The 20,711-nt window shown below is 39.4% G+C and overlaps 1 protein-coding gene across 1 annotated transcript in view, besides 4 other annotated features; it reads left to right on the top strand.

The window, feature by feature from the left end:
- Window positions 488-647: an enhancer, noted in NCBI's record as "active region_20342". NCBI's record gives its function as "activates an Ori minimal core promoter by ATAC-STARR-seq in GM12878 lymphoblastoid cells {active_cell/tissue: GM12878}" and the evidence as "EXISTENCE:reporter gene assay evidence [ECO:0000049][PMID:35858748]".
- Window positions 3,216-3,510: an enhancer, noted in NCBI's record as "tiled region #30; HepG2 Activating DNase unmatched - State 1:Tss, and K562 Activating non-DNase unmatched - State 1:Tss". NCBI's record gives its function as "activates a minimal TATA promoter and a strong SV40 promoter by Sharpr-MPRA in HepG2 and K562 cells {active_cell/tissue: HepG2 | K562}" and the evidence as "EXISTENCE:reporter gene assay evidence [ECO:0000049][PMID:27701403]".
- Window positions 3,216-3,631: a biological region, named in NCBI's record as "Sharpr-MPRA regulatory region 30".
- POLQ (DNA polymerase theta) overlaps window positions 3,364-20,711 on the top strand; it is a 114,558-nt gene continuing 97,210 nt past the window's right edge. The window contains exons 1-7 of the mRNA NM_199420.4: window positions 3,364-3,637; window positions 4,446-4,625; window positions 7,873-8,003; window positions 9,763-9,919; window positions 12,144-12,252; window positions 16,143-16,362; window positions 19,560-19,707. Coding sequence (NP_955452.3) covers window positions 3,475-3,637; window positions 4,446-4,625; window positions 7,873-8,003; window positions 9,763-9,919; window positions 12,144-12,252; window positions 16,143-16,362; window positions 19,560-19,707 — 1,108 coding nt within the window. The 5' untranslated portion in view covers window positions 3,364-3,474. The remainder of the gene's footprint in view (window positions 3,638-4,445; window positions 4,626-7,872; window positions 8,004-9,762; window positions 9,920-12,143; window positions 12,253-16,142; window positions 16,363-19,559; window positions 19,708-20,711) is intronic.
- Window positions 3,402-3,631: an enhancer, noted in NCBI's record as "active region_20341". NCBI's record gives its function as "activates an Ori minimal core promoter by ATAC-STARR-seq in GM12878 lymphoblastoid cells {active_cell/tissue: GM12878}" and the evidence as "EXISTENCE:reporter gene assay evidence [ECO:0000049][PMID:35858748]".

Raw genomic sequence — 20,711 nt, 5'->3', positions numbered from 1 at the left:
GTATCTAGCATAATTCTACTACTTACATATTTTTTAAAAAGCCAAAGATTAAATTTAAAGTGATCCACAATTGGTATGTCTCCCAGGTAACTGGCAGAAGTATGTGTAAATTTTATTTGGAGGGGTTTGCTCAGACCTTGAAGAATTTTTTTTTTTTTTTGAGACTGAGTCTTGCTCTATCACCCAGGCTGGAGTGCAATGGTGTTGTAGCAGGATGAGCTGCAGACAAAACTTCTCAGACACCGAGTTGTAGAAGGAAGGGCTTTATTCAGCTGGGAGTATCAGTGAGCTACTATCTCAAAATCCAAGCTCCCCAAATGCACAGTTTCTGTCCTTTTTAAGGGCTCACGACACTAAAGTTTTCGTACGAAAGGATCGTGGTTGACTGAGCAGTCTAGGGGATACGTAACAGGGGTTTCATGCACTGGTATTCAGAAAGAAACAGAACAGGGCAAGGAGTTTCACGATGTTCTTCTATACAATGTGTGGAATCTATGAATAACATCAGTTTCTAAGTTATGAGTTGATTTTTAACTACTGGGTTGAGGCCTGGCAGGCCCAGGCCTGGTTTCGGGCGTGGCGCCGGGCTGCTGGTCTTTGGTTTTACTTCCTTGTTTTTTTTTTTTTTTTTAAAAAAAACAAGTACTGAGTATAATACAATATAAAACAATATGAGAGGGTCTCTCTCTTCCCAATATGAGAGGGTCTCTCTCTTCCCTCAGTGTGATCCTGGCTCACTGCAACCTCTACCTCCTAGATTCAAGCCATTCTCCTGCCTTAGCCTTCCAAGTAGCTGGGACCACAGGTGCACCACTAGGCCTGGCTAATTTTTGTATTTTTAGTAGAGATGGGGTTTCACCATGTTGGCCAGGCTGGTCTCGAACTCCTAACCTCAAATGATTCGGCCTGCCTTGGCCTCCCAAAGTGCTGGGATTACAGGTGTGAGCCACTGCACCCTGCCTCCTTGAGGAATTATCACAGACAAAATTCCAAGGAACACGAGTTTAGACACAATACAGATGGAAAATGCTTCTGGTATTTTAATATTAGTTATTATGATAACTGTTAGCATAAACATCTTTAATATTTTTGAGAAATAGCCTTCTATTCTCCATTTTCAGAGTTTTTCTGAAAAAATTAGAAATGTTGAACATTTAAAATAAATTATATATTTTAAAATATTCTCTAGGCTTTTGGTAGGATGACATAAAACTTTCAATTCCTTTCTAATTATTTTTCTGATTTGATCATAGTTCACCTAATAATAAAAACAGAATAGCTTTGTAAGAGATTTTTCTAGTTTAGCCTTTTCCCAGCAAAATGCTGAATTTAAATTGGGGGCTATATTAGAACATCTAAATATTTTCTCTGAATAGTATTTATTATGTGCCGGCACTATTCTAAGTACTTTACACATATTGACTTACTCAGTCCTCAAAATAACCAAATAGGTTGTTACAATTATTATCTCTATCATACAGATGAGGACATGGAGGCACAAAAGGGTTACGCTGTAATCCCAGCACTTTGGGAGGCGGAGGTGGACGGGTCATTTGAGGTCAGGAGTTCGAGACCAGCTTGACCAACATGGTGAAACCCTGTCTGTACTAAAAATACAAAAATTAGCCAGGTGTGGTGGTGCAGGCCTGTAATCCCAGCTACTTGGGAGGCTGAGGCAGGAGAAACGCTTGAACCTGGGAGGCAGAGGTTGCAGTCAGCAGAGATCAAGCCACTGCACTCCAGCCTGGGCGACAGAGTGGGACACTCCGTCTCAAAACAAACAAACAAACAAAAAATGGGTTAAGCAAGTTGCCCAAGATCTCACAGCTACTAAGTTTCAAACCTAGACTGACTGACTCCAGAGTTGCACTGTTAACCCTTAAGTTACACTGCATCTGAGAAAGTTCTTTCTTGGCTGCAATCTAGGGGTCTCTCTCTCTTTTTTTTTTTTTTCTTTTTTTGAGACGGAGTCTTTCTTTGTCGCACAGGTTGGAGTGCAGTGGTGCGATCTCGGCTCACTACAACCACCGCCTCCCAGGTTCAAGCAATTCTCCCGCCTCAGCCTCCAGAGTAGCTGGGATTACAGGCACCCGCCATCATACCCGGCTAATTTTTTGTATTTTTGTAGAGACGGGGTTTCACCATGTTGGCCAGGCTGGTCTAGAGCTCCTGACCTCAGGTGATGCACTCATCTCGGCCTCCCAAAGTGCTGGGATTACAGGCGTGAGCCACCACGGCCGGCGAGATCTCTTTTATTTCTTTAATAGTACTCTTCATTTCTGCCCAAGCATATGGCACACTTCATTAACTGACTTGTTTAATGTCTGCCTTATTCTCTAGACTCTTTCTCTTTGAGAGCAGGAACCATTTTATGCCATTTCACTGCCATTTACCCAGTGGCTAGCTTACAGTAGATACTCAGTAAATAGTTGTTGATTGCGTAAAAGGCCAAGAGAAAAATGTTTCATTCACGGAGTAATGTCGCCATCTCGTGGAACTTTAGAATATTGTCATTTAAATCAAAAAAATGTTTTCACGGAAGGAATTGATGGTTCGAATGCTATTTTCCAGATTGTATTCGAGTGTTTTTTTTTTTTTTAATTGGACTGGACCTTTTGAGATTTTTAGTGCTCTAGAACTGCACAGCCTCTTCAGGTCAGGCTTAGGGCCTACTAGTTTTGCTTGGTGAAATGAATTATGCAACTAGGTAATGAATGGTCACCGTTTTACGTTCAGAACTCGTTCGCTTCTACCTTTACAAAAGGGACAACACAGATGCATTACTAAGCTCTTGGCTCATAACGATCCCTGGGGTATATTCAGAGCCCCTTCCTCGCGGCGTTCATATAGTGTCTCAGGGGTCTGTCAGCCAGCAATCCCCAATTCCTCATTACATATTCCTCACAATGCATGCTGGCTAAAATGGAAATTGTGTTCAGAAATAGCCCTGCCCTACCATCATATACTAGGAGAAAGGAGGAAATTATGCTCTATTAGAAACCCTAGGCTATCTTGCATAATGCTTCTCAATCTGAAATAATTTTTTACAGAATACCAATACGTTAAGAAGAGCTACTTCCCTGATCTACCTATTATGGGCAGCCCATTTTATGAAGTTAGCATGGCCTTCCTATTCAAACCAGAAATGGACAAAAGGAGAAGGAAGGCTTTTAGGTCAGTATGGTTATAACTGTAGATTCTGTATTCTTCCTCTTTAATCTATCTCTCATATTAACCAACCAGGAGGTTGGAGGCCGGAAGTCTTAGACGCCAGCGAGAGCCGCTCCTTCCCCACGAGTCTATGGCTTTCGGGTTACTTAAGCCACGGAGAACTCTATGGTTCCGGGGCGGGCCGGGAGGTTTGAGTTTGAAGACTGGCGGGAAGATGTCCGCAGCTGTTGCCAGGCCAGGGTTCTCCCGAGAGGGAGGACGCTGGGACTGTGGCTTGCCCTGATCGGCCGAGAAGAGTTTGCCATGAATCTTCTGCGTCGGAGTGGGAAACGGCGGCGTTCAGAATCAGGCTCAGATTCGTTCTCGGGAAGCGGCGGTGACAGCAGTGCCAGCCCCCAGTTCCTCTCCGGGTCCGTGCTGAGCCCGCCGCCCGGCCTTGGTCGCTGCCTGAAGGCCGCAGCTGCAGGTGCTCCAGGAACCCGGGAGGCCGCGGGCAACGGGGGCAGCTCCGCCGGGCCATGGGTCGGGAGGTGTCCTCACCCCACGGGACTTGCTTCGTTGCATACCCCATTGGGCTTCTACTCCCCTTCTCTGTGACTGGGGCCTGGTGTGGCAGGTCACTTTCTGTTCAGACATACGCGTGTTTTCAGTGATCGCCTGGTATTAATGTTCACGTGGCTTCTGGATCTTTCGACCTTTAGAGAAACAACTTCCTAGTTAGCTTCATCCCATCATCTGTTGGGCGGCTCGTTCCTGGTAGTACCCAGTACTCCTTACAGACCCTTAAGACAGGATTGTTGGGCCTGGAGTACGGCACAGGCTGTTCGGCGTCCAGGGGAAGGCTGGAAGGGATTCGTAATGAGATTGGTTGGGTGTCCCGTGGATGTCGACCCAGTTTTTTAAAATCGTTAGTTGTGCAGTCGTCATGGAACTAAAACTTACTATAAATAGAAACTCACCTAACTTAGCTTTGTAATGCTTGCATATTGCCCTCCTCCCCCAACTACACCCGTAATTCCAACACTCTTTATCTACTGTGTATTGCACGCTTTTTTGTTCGTTTGAGGCTTTTAAGGAATTTTTATTATATGCAGTAAATAACAATTTATTACTTTTCTATACATGGTCAATTTCTCATAAGATTCTTGAAGTCAGGATGTGCTTTAAAGAGCTTCATTTCAACACATAGGAATTCCAACACACGGTGAAGGGCTAACTGTAAAACTCATATATTAGAAGTAAATTAAATTTTAATTTTTTCTTTTTCCTAAAAGGAGAATGCAAGCCTACAGTTCCTGACTACGAAAGAGACAAGCTACTATTGGCAAACTGGGGACTTCCTAAAGCAGTTCTGGAAAAATACCACAGTTTTGGTGTAAAAAAGATGTTTGAATGGCAGGCAGAGTGCCTTTTGCTTGGACAAGTCCTGGAAGGAAAGAATTTAGTTTATTCAGGTATCCAAATTTATGTAAACTAATTACTATTTTTAAGATATGAATGTAAAGAATACTCTATTGAGGTAGTTGTGGTTCGTTTAAAAGGTGAATGAGGCAGTGCTTTATAACTAGAGAAAATCGTACAATATGTGTGAAAAGTGGAGTTTTATTTATATTTAAATTACAAAAGTTTTATTGTTTGACTGGGGTGGAGGGAAGCAAGAAAAATGACAATTTAAAGAGTGGGCAATTCTGCCTGCCATTATTCTCAACAAACATATATCCCAGTGAGTGTGCAATGGGAGATGTAAATCTGCCCTTCCCCTGTTTGATCCTGGTTGCTTTTCAGGGTATGAGCATTATCATTACATGTTTGTTAATTTACCTTTTTTTTTTCTTGAGATAGAGTTTGTCTCCAGGCTGGAGTGCAGTGGCGCTATGTGGGCTTACTGCAACTTCCACCTCCCAGGTTCAAGTGATTCTCCTGCCTCAGCCTCCCAAGTAGCTGGAATTACAGGTGTGCGCCACCAGGCCCAGCTACTTTTTTGTATTTTTAGTAGAGATGGGATTTCACTGTGTTGGCCAGACTGGTCTTGAGCTTCTGACAAGTGATCTGCCTACCTTAGCCTCCCAAAGTGCTGGGATTATAGGTGTGAGTCACCGTGCCCAGCTATAGATTGACCTGTTTGTACAGGGTTGTATATACAAACAACAAGTAATATACTTTATATAAAATTTTTATGGGTTTTCTTTTTTTTTTTTGAGATGGAGTCTTGCTCTGTCGCCCAGACTGGAGTGCAATGGAGTTGTCTCGGCTCACGGCACCCTCTGCCTCCCGGGTTCAAGTGATTCACCTGCCTCAGCCTCCTGAGTACCTAGGATTACAGATGCCCGCTGCCATGCCTAGCTAATTTTTGTATTTTTAGTAGAGACGGGGTTTCACATCTTGGTCAGGCTGGTCTCGAACTCCTGACCTCAGGTGATCCACGCACCTCAGCCTCCCAAAGTCCTGGGATTACAGGCATGAGCCACCATGCCCGGCCCTATATGGGTTTTCATGGGCAACTATGGCATACACAATTTTTAACGCATGCTTACTACACTGACTTTAAATCTAATCATTTGGTAAGATGCAATTCCTTTGTGTCAGTTTTCTCCGAAATTATGAGTCACACAGATTTTTCATTATGGCTGTAAGGACGAATTAAATAATTATCAGCAGATATAAGTTCAGGCAGTGGAATTAGACTGGTTGGATTTGAAAACTATCACTTACTGGCTATGCAGCCTCACAGATTACTTAGGAAGAGTGAGAGAGTGTATATGTGTTTGTGAGTATGTGTGCCTCGGTAGTACTTAGAGTTGATTAAATTATTTCATATATAAAAGCTCAGAACAGTTTTTGGCACATAGAAAGTACTTGTATTGTGAAAAGGCATTACAAAAAATAAAATACTTGTAAATGCTAAGAAGTCATAGTTAGTGGCAGTGGCATAATTGCTTGACCATTTCAATTGCTTGAAACTGAAACTTGGGTATCATTCAGAACTCTGGTCACCAGCTTATACAATTAATCACCAAGTCCTGGTGTCTGTTACCTCATATATCTCTTGCTTCTGACTCCTTTCTGTTTTTAGGTCCATTACCTGGTACAGCTCATTATCATCTTTCTTCTAGATTATGCAATAGCTTTGAAACTAGTTCATTCTTTTCCTCTGATCTTGCCCTGCTCCTGCAGCCAAAGTGGTCTTTTTTTTTTGATGGAGTTTTGCTCTTGTTGCCCAGGCTGGAGTACAATGGCACAATCTCAGCTCACTGCAACCTCTGCCTCCCGGGTTCAAGTGATTCTCCTGCCTCAGCCTCCGGAGTAGCTGGAATTACATACAGGCGCCCGCCACCACGCCCGGCCCCAAAGTGGTCTTTTTAAAAAAAATTTTTGTTTAAATTTTTTGTAGAGATGGGGGTGGCACTGTGTTGTCCAGGCTGGTCTTGAACTCCTGGGCTCAAGTGATTCTCCCAAAGTTTTGAGATTACAGGCATGATTCACTGTGCCCAGTCCAAAGTGATCTTTATAAAGTACAAATATGATCTTGTCACTCCTTTTCATAAAACTCATCAGTCACACTGCATTGCTTTCAGGACAAGGTTTAAACTCCTTAAATGGTGGGATTATAAACCTTTCTTGTGGCACTTTCATATCTCTTCTTTTATACCCCTGGGGTACTTTATACTCCATGCTTACTAAATTACCTTCTGTGTCATCTGAACATGCCAGGCTTTCTTCTAGGCCTTTGTACCATATGCTGTTTCTTAGGCATGGCATTCCTTTCCTCTTCCTTTCTTTTTTCTTTTTTTGGAACAGAGTCTCACTGTATCACCCATGCTAGAGTGCAATGGCGTGACTGCAACTCACTGCAGCCTCCTCTTCCTGGGTTCATGTGATTCTCAGGCCTCAGCCTCCCAAGATGCTGGGATTACAGACATACAACACCTTGCCCATCGTGGCCTCCTCTTGCTTTCTTCCTTACCTTCTCATAAATTCTGTTTCATTTCCATAAGATTCCTTGCAACTTTTTTCCTTCCACTTCTTTTTTTTTTTTTTCCTTTTTGAGACGGAGTCTCTCACTGTCGCCCAGGCTGGAGTGCAGTGGGGTGATCTCGGCTCACTGCAACCTCTGCCTCCCAGGATCAAGCAATTCTTGTGCCTCAGCCTCCTGAGTAACTGGGATTACAGGTGCCCGCCACCACGCCCAGCTATTTTTTTTTTTGTTATTTTTATAGTAATAGAGATGGGGTTTTACCATGTTGTCCAGGATGGTTTCAAACTCCTGACCTCAAGTGATCCCCCGGCCTTGGCCTCCTAAAATGCTGGGATTACAGGCATGAGCCACCATGCCCAGCCCTTTTCTTCAACTTCGATCATAGCTCCTATCATAATAAAATTGTTCATCTACTTCCTCAAAGCAGGCCTTTTACCCATTTGGTACTTAAAGGAAAGGATCTTTAGGTATAAACTAGGTACTCAGTAGTATTCATCATATTGCTGATATAAAGATTTATTTACTCTGTTTTTAGTTGAGACTATTAAGACAGGTGGTTTAAAGTAAAGGGCATTTCAGGGTATAAAGATTTTAAGTGCTATTGGGCCCTTAGTGATTGGTTAGCCTTAGGCTCTGTAGTACTACACATGGCTTAAAACATTTATTAATGAATTGTACCGAATATTACTTTTTTCTTATAATCTTGTGGAATAATCATGTTTTAGCTCCTACAAGTGCTGGGAAGACTCTTGTGGCAGAATTACTTATTTTGAAGCGGGTTTTGGAAATGCGGAAGAAAGCTTTGTTTATTCTTCCCTTTGTTTCTGTGGCTAAAGAGAAGAAATACTACCTCCAGGTAATGTTTTTTACTAAGTTTGAAATAGTGAAAGGCTCATTATTGGCAGTCTTGGTTTCATTCATTTGAAATAGAATTATAAAAGCAAGTGGAAAACAAAGTTTCTTCATTGTGCCCTATGTAGCTTTAAGAGGCTACTGCCAAAAGCATTAAAAATTTACAGCAAGGGGCTGGGTGTGGTAGCTCACGCCTGTAATCCCAGCACTTTGGGAGGCCAAGGTGGGCGGATCATCTGAGGTCAGGAGATCGAGACCAGCCTGGCCAACATGGGGAAACCCCATCTCTACTAAAAATACAAAAATTAGCTGGGTGTTGTGGCGCACACCTGTAATTCCAGCTACTCGGGAGACTGAGGCTTGAACCTGGGAGGTGGAGGTTGCAGTGAGCCGAGATCACGCTATTGCACTCCAGCCTGGGCAACAGAGTAAGACTCTGTCTCAAAAAAAAAAAAATTAAAAAAATTTACAGAAGGAAATTAAAAGAAAATTATTATTGCATTAAGGAGAAGGGGCCATCAAATCAAAAGAATAATTGGTGAAAATTGTGTAAAAATTTGTAAACCTTTTCTTAGGAAATAAACAGAATATTTAAACTAGCATATAAACACGCACATTAAGAATCAGCATTTAACTGAACAGTAGGACTAGACTGAAGCATAGAAAGGAAAGAGTGTTTAAGGAAGTGTATCCTGCCCTAATTGAGGACTATTTAGGAATATTTAGGGGATGAAGGTCAAGATCCATTGGTGCTTAGGTAAAGCTCCAGGTATGTGATCTGTTCCTCTGTTCTGCAAAAATGACTAATAGTAGTTTACATCAATATGATGCTCACAGTTTTTAGGGCATTTTCACAAATACAATATTTTATTAAATGGAATAAATTTACTGTTGTGATTTCTGCAGTGAAAAATATGTGCTTTTGAAATGGAAAGATTGTTATACTGATTGTTAAAGAAATGTGGGTTCTAGTCCCAGTTTTGCCACTAACTATGTCTTTAGGCCGGGCATATAACTGGCTGGGCCTCAGTTTTTTTATTTGTAAAATTAGGATGTTAACCCTTAGCCCTGTGGGTTAACTTAGTAAACACTCAGGAAAATTTTATTGAATGAATAGCTCTAAATTTCTATGGTTCTATAAATCTTTTTAATAGTTATTTCAGAGGCACAGTAGCCAACAAAGCTGGTCATACATGGTAACATCACTCAACTTAGACCCAAAGTAACGAAATGATGAAAGGATCCTTTTTATTGAAAGGTATGTTAGTTAAAAGTTAAACTAAAAAAAAAAAAATTATTATTAAAGTCCCACTGAATTTGACTTTTAAAAACTTTTCTTCCAATTACATTAAAAAATTGGTCATTAGTAGGATAATGAGACTATTTTCCTCATGAAGTATAAATTTGTTTCTTTAAGTGTTATAGCTAGTTTCTTGCTATTTATTAGATTAAAAATGTTAGTGCTTAAGGTAGTTTTTCTCCAATTTTAATTCCTCTAAATAGCTCTTAGAAGTTTTTAGATTATTATGCTGTCATTAAAATGGCATAATTTTATTTGACTCTTAACAGTTTTGTCAGTTCTAAACTTTATATTTTTAGTATATGATCTAAAAAGAACCAGTGTGTCCTGGCCAGAAACAACTGATGACAGTAATCTGGTAGATGTCTTTAGATACTTATGTCTATGTTCTGGGATAGAACCAGTTTATAACTCTTGAATTTCAAGTTTTTTCACCTGTATTGTTCCTTTTTACTCAATTCAGAGTCTGTTTCAGGAAGTAGGAATAAAAGTAGACGGTTATATGGGCAGCACCTCTCCATCAAGGCATTTCTCTTCATTGGATATTGCAGTCTGCACAATTGAGAGAGCCAATGGTCTGATCAATCGCCTCATAGAGGAAAATAAGATGGATCTGTTAGGTAAGAAAGTTAGAAAATAAGTAAATACTTTCTATTGCTATTTTTGATGGAATGAAGTGGAGCTGTTGTGATTTCTCTAGGTCCCATTTGTTTTCCTATTGTCTATTATCTACTTCTGGAGGCAAGGATTGGCATCTGTAATGTTAGGAACGCTGTGTTTATAAGTTTTGTGTCCTGCTGCTGTTATTGACTCCGTTACGTTGCATTTTTGTACTTTACAAAACGTAGATTATATCCTTGAGCCCTCAATAATTTCTCCTTGCTTCTTTCCTATCTAAACTCTACCAGGAATAGAAGGAGGCCTGCTGGGCCAGATCTGCCATTTTGTGGTTAGTGTATATGGGTTTTTGTTATTATATTCTGCTGCTATGATGTCTATTTTGGGCTTGGACCCAGAGTCTGTCATTTAGCATGGAAATGGTAGGAAGCTAAAGAAACTGACACTCTATTTGAGCTTGGGATTGTGGGAAGATTTTCTATCTTAATGCATTTTTTTGCCATTATGGAAAGGCCATTATGTAGAGGTAGCAACAGGAATAGAAGGATTGCAGCAGCAGAAGTAGCAAGAATATCAGCTAATTATTGAGAAGCTGGTGAACTTAAAAATACCATGGTAAAGTTATGGTAGGGTAGGGGTGGAGGGTGGGAATCAGACATAGGCTATGCTCCATAAAGCTTGGAGAGAGAAATTGCAATTGATTTGTATCAGAATTGTCTTATTACTTGTGACCCCATTGGACTTTAAATATTTGAGAGTTGCAATAGACTCGTAGTAAGTGCTATTTCCAATGTACCTAGCACAGTGCTTGGCACACGGCAGGCAGAATACTTTTTTTTTTTTTTTTTTGGTGAATGAATGAGTAAGTGCTAAAATAACTCATCAGACAGTACAATTTTGGAGACAGCTTATTGATAGGAAAAAGAACATCATGTGTCATTAGGAAGTTTCCTATTGTCTCCTTAAATTCCTTTTCACCAGAAAGTTGTCTTTTGGTGGGGAGAATTTGGGGTGGGGAGAATACCAGTACATGTGGAAACTATGTTGTTATGAAAATGTTTAACTAAAGAAAGTATTAGTTGATACTGAATTTTCAGTAATTCTTAAGAATTATTCCAAGTATATACATTGGTTAAATTCTCCAAGTAGTGAAGGACATTGTGATCATATTTATGTTTTGCAGTATGATGACTCACTAGCTTACCATATTAAAAAAAAACTCTTAAAATTGTCTTTTTCTTCTGGACCCTCTTATGTTTTTTCTAAGCTACTTTCTAACATGAGTATGTATGTTTTCCCACTGAAAAGTCAATACATTGAAAACTGACATAGATGTCTTTGATATTTCATTGTATGTTTATTTCGGTGAAGTTGCCAATTTAGAAGAGTAATGAGAGGCAGTTTTCCCTGGGTTTGTTTAGCCCTGAGTAAGCTAATAATTGATTTTTAGATCAGTATACCTTGTAGTACGACTGCCTGTAATACCTGAAACATCTTGGAAAAGAATTGCCCATTATAAGGAATATGATTTTTGATTTATGGTTTGAAGTTTGCATCACTTGCAATGTATTATATAGTGTATTATATCTTATATCACTGTGTGGGAAAGTTAGAAAATAAGTAAATACTTTCTATTGCTATTTTTGATGGAATGAAGTGGAGCCGTTGTGATTTCTCTAGGTCCCATTTGTTTTTCTCTTGTCTATTATCTACTTCTGGAGGCAAGAATTGGCATCTCAATATCTTATTTCAAAGATATTGAGTCTTTTAAATGTCTTCTTGGCGCAGTCATAAAAAGAATGAAATCATGTCCTTTGTAGCAAAGCCACATGGATGCAGCTGGAGCCATTATCCTAAGCCAATTAATGCAGGAACAGAAAACCAAGTACCACATGTTCTCACTCGTAAGTGGGAATTAACCTTTGAGTACTCATGGACATAAAGATAGCGACAACAGAAACTGGGGACTACTAGAAGGGAACAAGGGTTGAAAAACTAACTATTTAATAATAGGGTACTATTGCTAAGTACCTGGGTGATGGGATCATTTGTATCCAAACCTCAGCATTACACAATATACCCAGGTAACAGACCTTCACATGTACCCCCAAATCTAAAATAAAAGTTGATATAAAGGAAATTAAATAGAGTGAAATAAAGGTTGGAAAAAAATTCTTCATGGATGTGACATTCTGTAAAAACCTAGTATCTGGAAAATCTTTTTAGGAATGGTGGTTGTGGATGAATTACATATGCTGGGAGACTCTCACCGAGGGTATCTGCTGGAACTTTTGCTGACCAAGATTTGCTATATTACTCGGAAATCAGCATCTTGGTAAGTACGTGAAATAACTGAGTTCCTGAGATTTCAAACAATGTTGAGGAAGTGTCTGAAAAATGCATAAGTATGAGTTAAATAAATTAAGGGAGTGTAATATTTTTCTTATTGAGAAAACTTATGTATAGTAGTTTGTTTTTGTTCCAGAAGTCAGTCCAGGCATGGTGGCTGACACCTGTAATCCCAGCACTTTGGAAGGCTGATGTGGGAGGATCACTTGAGCCTGAGTTCCAGACCAGCCTGGGCAACACAGTGAGACCCCATTTCTATAAATAATAAAAAAAATTAGCTGGGCATGGTGGCACACACCTGTAGTCCCAGCTTCTCAGTAGGCTGAGGCAGGAGGATTACTTAAGCCCAAGAGTTCCAGGCTGCAATGAGGTATGATTGTGCCACTTTACTCTAGCCTGGGCAACAGAGCAAGACCATGTCTCTAACAACAACAGAAAAAGTATTTCAGGTTGCAACTGATTTTAGATTACTGTGTAAACATTCTTAATTTTCTGACTGCTCACCTTTCAATGTATACATTTTTATTATAGATTTTTAAAAATCTAGTTTCTGTATTTGTCATCTATATATATATAAGTAGTCAGGCTAATTTTGAAAAAAATATTATTTTTTTAGCCCTCACTTCTCAGAGGCAACTACCTTTCAACTCTTCTAGCTTTTTAAAAATATTTACAGCAGCATCTCTAATTGTGGCTACTTAATTTTTTAAATTTCAGACCTTATATCTTGACTTTTACTATGAAAGATGAAGATCTAGCTTTCTTTTAAATTTTTTACTAACCACTACCCAATCTTCTCCCTTCTCTGCAGTCTCTCCTTATCCTCTCATTATCTTCCTATTCTTCAAATATAGTTATGTTATGATTTTGCTTAGATCATTATTCAGTGTTACACTATTATGACTATATAAATGACATTGGTAACTGGGCTATAGTGTAATATGATTACTTCTGCTTTTCTAAACAACTTTTTGTTTTCTCTGAAATTAATAACTGTCTTTTTTGTTTGATGGCTTGGTTTTCCAGATACTTACTGCTAATTTATCCCTAGCCTCCTCCCCAGTTGTGTATTCTACCACATTTGCTATTCTGCCAGTCATCTTCTTGAAGATTTTCCTGAAGCCCTTCAAGTTGTTCCAATCTAGATAGGTGGTTAATCTATATATGTGCTATATAGCAATCATCTTGGGATTCCCTTCCCCCTACCAATTTTTTGACCATATGTCTGTCTTGATTTACCATCTCATTTTGGTGGGAATATCTTCCAGGAACTTCTACTTTATTTCAGTGAACACACATAGGTATAAACTTTTTGAGAACTTGCATGTCTGAAAATGCCTCATAATTCTTTCTTTTTTTTTTTTTTTTTTGAGATGGAGTTCCGCTCTTTTGCCCAGGCTGGAGTGAAGTGGCGTGATCTCGGCTCACTGCAACCTCCATCTCCCAGGTTCAAGCGATTCTCCTGCCTGAGCCTCCTGAGTAGCTGGGATTATAGGCGCCTGCCACCACACCCAGCTAATTTGTGTATTTTTAGTAGAGACAGGGTTTCACCATGTTGGCCAGGCTGGTCTCGAATGCCTGACCTCAGGTGATCTACCCACCTCGGCCTCCCAAAGTGCTAGGTTTATAGGCATGAGCCACTGTGCCCGGCCTCCATAATTATGGACTGTCCAGGTATAAAAGTCAAGATTAGAAATACTTTTCCTTCAGAGTTGTCAAGGCATTACTTCATTTTCTCATTGCTATTGAGAAATTCAGTGCTATGCTGGTTTTTCATCCTTTGTAAACAATTTTTTAAATTCTGTCTGGGAATTTTTAGGCACTCCTCTTTTTCCACAGTGCTGTGAAATTTCATACTGATGTGTGTTGGTGTTGGTCTATTTTTAATCATTGTGCTGGGTACTCAATAGATTCTTTTCAGTTAAGGGAGAATTGAACACATCTCTCTTGTGATAGAACAAGCAGATAACCATCTATATCCCAAATCACTAGGGATATAGAAAATCTGATTAATATAATCAGCAAATTTGACCTAATGGATATATATTGAACAATTACCTCAAAACAGCAGAGTACCTGTGCATTTGAGTTACACATGGAACATTTATCAAAAAGTTTTCCATATACTGGACCATAAAGCAAGTCTTAACATATTTTAATGGATTCATATCATTTATTTTCTAACAATAGTGAATTTAGCTATAAGAAAAGCATAACTAGGACATGTCTACATGACTAGAAATAAACACATTTTTGACACACTTTTAGATCAAAAAAGTAATCACAACAGAAGTTAGAAAATAGTTTGAACTGAAAGTATAATAAAAATATCTCTTAACAAAACTTGTGAAGGGCAGCAAAAGTTGTTTTTAAAAGGAAATTGATAGCATAAAGTGTATATATTATTAAGGAAGAGAGACTGAGAATCAATTATTTAATTATCCATCCCAATAACTTAGAAAAAAGGCCAAGCATGGTGGCTCATGCCTGTAATCCCAGCACTTTGGGAGGCCAAGGCAGGCAGATCACTTGAGGCCAGTTCTAGATGAGCCTGCCCAACATGGCAAAACCCTGTCTCTACTAAAAATACAAAATTTGGCTGGGCGTGGTGATGCATACCTGCAATCCCAGCTACTCAGGTGGCATAAGAATCACTTGAACCCTGGAGGTAGAGGTTGCCATGAGCCAAGATCGTGCCTTTGCACTCCAGCCTGGGTGACAGAGCTAGACCCTGTCTCAAAAAAAAAAAAAGTAAAATAATGCAACAGAAAGCTTGATAAACTAATAAAAACAGAGCAAAAAATGAAAGAGGAAATTCACTATCCAGACATTTAAAAATTCTACAAATGAATAAGAAAAACACAACCCACTATATCAATGGACAAAAAAACAGGCTTTTGAAACAGTATCGGCTGGGCGTGGTGGCTCACGCCTGTAATTCCAACACTTTGGGAGGCTGAGGTGGGTGGATCACGAGGTCAGGAGATCGAGACCATCCTGGCTAACATGGTGAAAACCCGTCTCTACTAAAAATACAAAAAATTAGCCAGGCGTGGTGGTGGGCGCCTGTAGTCCCAGCTACTCGGGAGGCTGAGGCAGGAGAATGGCAGGAACCCAGGAGACGGAGCTTGCAGTGAGTGGGCAACAGAGCAAGACTCCGTCTCAAAAAAAAAAAAAAAAAAGGGTATCCACATGGTTCATACACATGAAGTGATGCTCAGTAGTCTCATTGGTTATCAGGGAACTGTAAATTACTTCTTCAAAGAAATACTGGCTGGGCACAGTGGCTCACACCTGTAATCCCAGCACTTCGGGAGGCCGAGGTGGGTAAATCACAAGGTCGGGAGTTCGAGACCAGCCTGGCCAACACAGTGAAACCCTGTCTCTGCTAAACATACAAAAATTAGCCAGGTGTGGTGGTACACACCTATAGTCCCAGCTACTTGGGAGGCTAAGGCAGGAGAATCACTTGAACCTGGGAGGCGGAGGTTGCAGTGAGCCGAGACAGGTCCATTGCACTCCAGCCTGGGTGACAGAGCAAGACCCTGTCTAAAAAAAAAGAAATACTACCACGTACTGTCTATAACTGCCAACATTAAAAAGATTGACAATACCAAGTGGTGACAAGATTATGGAACAATAGAAAACACAGATTGTGGAGGTGTTACTTTGGAAAACAATGTGGGATTATCTACTAAAATTGAAGATCTTCTGTGACTCAGTAATCTGTGGCTCAGTAATTTTATTCTTAGGTATATATCCTAAAGAAATGTATGCATGTGTGTACCAAAGGGCATAACCAAGAATATTGTTAGCAACACTAATTATTAATGTATTATATATCTTTTAATGTTCTTTTCATTTGTTTTTTTACAGTCAGGCAGATCTAGCCAGTTCTCTGTCTAATGCTGTGCAAATCGTTGGCATGAGTGCTACCCTTCCTAATTTGGAGCTTGTGGCTTCCTGGTTGAATGCTGAACTCTACCATACCGACTTTCGCCCTGTACCGCTTTTGGAGTCAGTAAAAGTTGGAAATTCCATATATGACTCTTCAATGAAACTTGTGAGGGAATTTGAGCCCATGCTACAAGTGAAGGTAAATCAATATATGTACATCACTACTATTTTTATCTGTGTGTTTGATTTCATTTTCTAGCAAATTGCTAACAAATTCTGAATGATGTAATTGGGAGTTACATATACATTAGGATTAATATTAAGCTAACTGGTTTCCTCTTAAAGAATTGGTGGTGAGCTGGGTGTGGTGGCTGACGTCTGTAATCCCAACATGTTGGGAGGCCAAGGCGGGTGGATCACTTGAGGTCAAGAGTTAGAGACCATCATGGCCAACATGTGAAACCCTGTCGCTACTAAAAATACAAAAATTAGCTGGGTGTGGTGGTGGGCGCCTGTAATCCCAGCTACTCGGGAGGCTGAGGCAGGAGAATTGCTTGAACATGGGAGGCTGAGGCAGGAGAATTGCTTGAACATGGGAGGCAGAGGCTGCAGTGAGCCGAGATCATGCCACTGCACTCCAGCCTGGGCAACAGAGTAAGACTCCATCCCCCACCAAAAAAAATATTAGCGGTGATGGTGAGAGAGGAAATGTAGTTGTACCTTTAATTTAAATAAATAGTTGTTTCCTGATATATAATATAAACATTTAAAAAAAATAACTGATCTTGTAGCGTTTTCTTTTTACTGGGAAAAGATTTTCTTATGGTTTAGTTTACACTAACTGCTAGTGTGCAAGATTAACTTTTTTGTTAAATGGTAGGTATAATATATAGTAGAGTGAAAATATTATTTTTGTAGTCTGATAGATCTACCTCTGATACTTAATAGAGATACTTGATATGGCTGAGATAGTAGTTGAATCACAAAACCTATCTGAACCTCATATCTTCACCTGTTAAATAGGATATTATAATCCCTATCTTGAATATTGTAAGAATTAAATATGATTTTTAAAAATTATCTGGCATCTAGAAAGTTACTTGATAAATAAGTACCCTCCCATACTCCCAAATACACTTTAATCCTGAGGTTAAAGAACTGACTCATGTACATTGGTGGAGTGAGGCATCTGCTGTTTTTGTGCAGAGTTGTGCCTCTGAGTACTAAAACAGCTAAGGGTCATTTTAGAATTGGAAATAGAATTGGAAATTCATGTGTTTCACTAACTACCTAGGTATGCATTTGTAGTTTCTGCATACTTGGTATGGAATCTTGCTTGCTTTGCTCTGTGCCCCATATTTCGCCTGGCTATGCCTTGGTTACTTCAATACATTTATGTGTGAACACATTCATTTGCTCTCCTGTTAATTTTTTTCTTCTTTTACCATGTCTGTGCCTCCACCCTTTTGAACCACTTATATTTCTTACCTGGATTATTGAAATATTTCCTAATTGTTCTCTCTGCTTCTGACCTTGTCCCTTTCAGTCTGTGCTTACAGGAGCTAGTGATCTATTTAAAATGAACATCAGATCATGTTACCCTTCTTCTCAGAAACTTGCAGTGGCTTTCTGTTTCATTTAGAATAAAAGCCAGTGTCTTCTTAGTAGTCTATAAGGTCCTACATGATCTACATCCCCCACCCCTCTTAGTGCTCTGACTCTATCTACTATGTTCCCTCTCACTTCCTTCACACTGGCCTCTGCTGTTTTTTAATACAACAAGAGTTTCTGGCCTCAGGTTCTCTTTTTCTAGAATACTTTCCCCTTAGGGCCATCAGTGTGGTTTACTCTTTCACCTTTGGACTTTTTTACTCAAATGTCACCATCTTAGACCTTCCCTGGCCAACTTGTCTAAATTATAGTGTTCTCCCTTACATGGTCTCTATTTCTTTTCCCTTAGCACTTTTCAAAACCAAACATATTATTATTATTATTATTTTTGAGATGGAGTTTTGCTCTTGTTGCCCAGGCTGGAGTGCAATGGCGCGATCTCAGCTCACCGCAACCTCCGCCTCCCGGGTTCAAGTGATTCTTTTGCCTCAGCCTCCCGAGTAGCTGGGATTACAGACATGCGCCACCATGCCCAACTAATTTTGTATTTTTACTAGAGGCGGAGCTTCTCCATGTTGGTCAGGCTGGTCTCGAGCTCCTGACCTCAGGCCTCGGCCTCCCAAAGTGCTGGGATTACAGGAGTGAGCCACTGCGCCCTGTCCCTTATGTATTTTACTTACCTCATATTTGTAATTATCTATCTCTTCCTACTGGAGTAGAAACATTATGAGGGTAGAGCTTTTTTTCTGCTTTGTTCGCAGCTCCATCCCCAGTACCTAGAACAATATTTGACAAATAGTAAATATTTGTTTAATGAGTGAATAGATGGATGCATTAATCCAGTTTTTAATACATACATTGACATACTTCCAGTATGGAGAACTTGCAGGGCCACCACAGTGGATTCACATGTGCCCTTTTGTTCATTTGAAATGTGTTGCCTTTCTTTGAGATAATGTTTCCCCACCTTCACATCTCAGCTAAATTGTTTTCTCAGGACAATTTTTCTTTCAGATCTTTCTGTCAAATATGAGGCCTCAAAACACCGTAAAACTCTCTTTTAATGGTATATATTATTGTTGTATTTTATATTTATTTATTTAGTACACATGCTCTTCGACTTATGATAGGGTTATATCCTGATAAACTCATTGTAAGTTGAAAATGCCTTTAATACATTTAACCTACTGAATATCATAGCTTAGCCTAGCCTACCTTAAATGTTCTCAGAACATTTACATCAGCCTATAGTTGGGCAAAATCATTTAGCACAAAGCCTGTTTTATAATAAAGTGTTTAATATCTTATAATTTAACGAATACTGTGCTGAGAGTGAAAAATAGAAGAGTTGTATGGGCACCCAAAGTATGGTTTCTATTGAGTGCATACTGCTTTTGCACCACTGTAAAATAAAAAAAAATCATAAAGTCCAATCATTTTAAGTTGAGGATATCTGTATTTTAATGTGTCTCTTGGTGAGACTATAAACCCCTTGACTATTAGGATCTTGACTTTCTTTTTACTCAATATTGTATTCCCATTGCCTGAGGGTTGGAGCTCAGTAAATATTAGTTGAATGAATAGTAAGTATTTCTTTCACCTTTCATCATTAGGAGTTTATTTTTTCTTCTTTTTTTCCTTTCTTTTGTTATTGACTTTGTAACTGATTTTCATTATGCCTTAAAGAAGAAAAAGCTTCCCCAGAAAGGAAAATGAGTGCTTTTAAACTGATGTGAGAATCTTTTGAAAGGACCACTAAAGTGGTTATTTATCTTTCTGTTTTAGGGAGATGAGGACCATGTTGTTAGTTTATGTTATGAGACGATTTGTGATAACCATTCAGTATTACTTTTTTGTCCATCAAAGAAATGGTGTGAGAAGCTGGCAGATATCATTGCTCGAGAGTTTTATAATCTACATCATCAAGCTGAGGGTGAGTTATGGATGGAAAGGAAAGCCTTCATGCTTAGTACATTTGCTTGAAAGTAATGGTAGTGATTATATTAGCAAAAACATGGCTTTTGTTCATCATTGTCACTGCCTGCCCACTAGGTGGTATCCTTTTTACCAAACTGTGCTTTTGCGATTCTAATAATATTCCGTCCCTAGTATAGACTATGTATACACACACATGCTTAGACTAATCAGCTTTAGATTTTTAGAATACTGGGTATATACTATAGTTCTTTATCAGGGATCCATGGGCTTTAAGAGTTTGATCTTTGGAGCCCCTAAATTGGATGCAAAACTTCACATGTAGACATTTCTTTGGGGAAAGTAACCATATCTTTCTTTATATTTCCAAAGGAATGTGTAACTCTGAAAAGAATCATACACACATACATACATATGTATAAGTTGACCCTTGAATGACATGGGTTTGAATTGCGTGCGTTCATTTATATGTGGATTTTTTTTCAATACATAATATATTAGAAAATGTTTTGGTGATTTGTGTTAATTTGAAAAAACTGACAAGCTATGTAGCCTAGAAACATGAAAACATTAAAAAACAAAAAGAAAAAGGTATGTCATGTAGCCTAAAACATATGTAGATACTAGTCTATTTTATCACATACTACCTTAAAATATACACAAATCTATTATTTATTTATTATTATTTTTTGAGACAGAGTCTCGCACGGTCGCTTAGGCTGGAATACAATGGCATGATCTCGGCTCACTGCAACCTCTGCCTCCTGGGTTCAAGTGATTCTTCCATCTTAGCCTCCCCAGTAGCTGGGATTACAAGCACCCGCCATCATGCCCGGCTAATTTTTGTATTTGTGTAGAGATGAGGTTTCACCATGTTAGCCAAGATGGTCTTGAACTCCTGATCTGAAGTGATCCGCCTGCCTTGGCCTCCCAAAATGCTGGGATTACAGGCATGAGCCACTGTGCCCGGCCCAAATCTTTTATTAAGAATTAAAATTTCTG

Source organism: Homo sapiens, chromosome 3 (genome assembly GCF_000001405.40).
Source record: "Homo sapiens chromosome 3, GRCh38.p14 Primary Assembly".
NCBI classification, from domain to species: domain Eukaryota; kingdom Metazoa; phylum Chordata; class Mammalia; order Primates; family Hominidae; genus Homo; species Homo sapiens.
The sequence above is the reverse complement of the archived record's forward strand: the minus strand, read 5'-3'. Positions and strand labels throughout refer to the sequence as shown.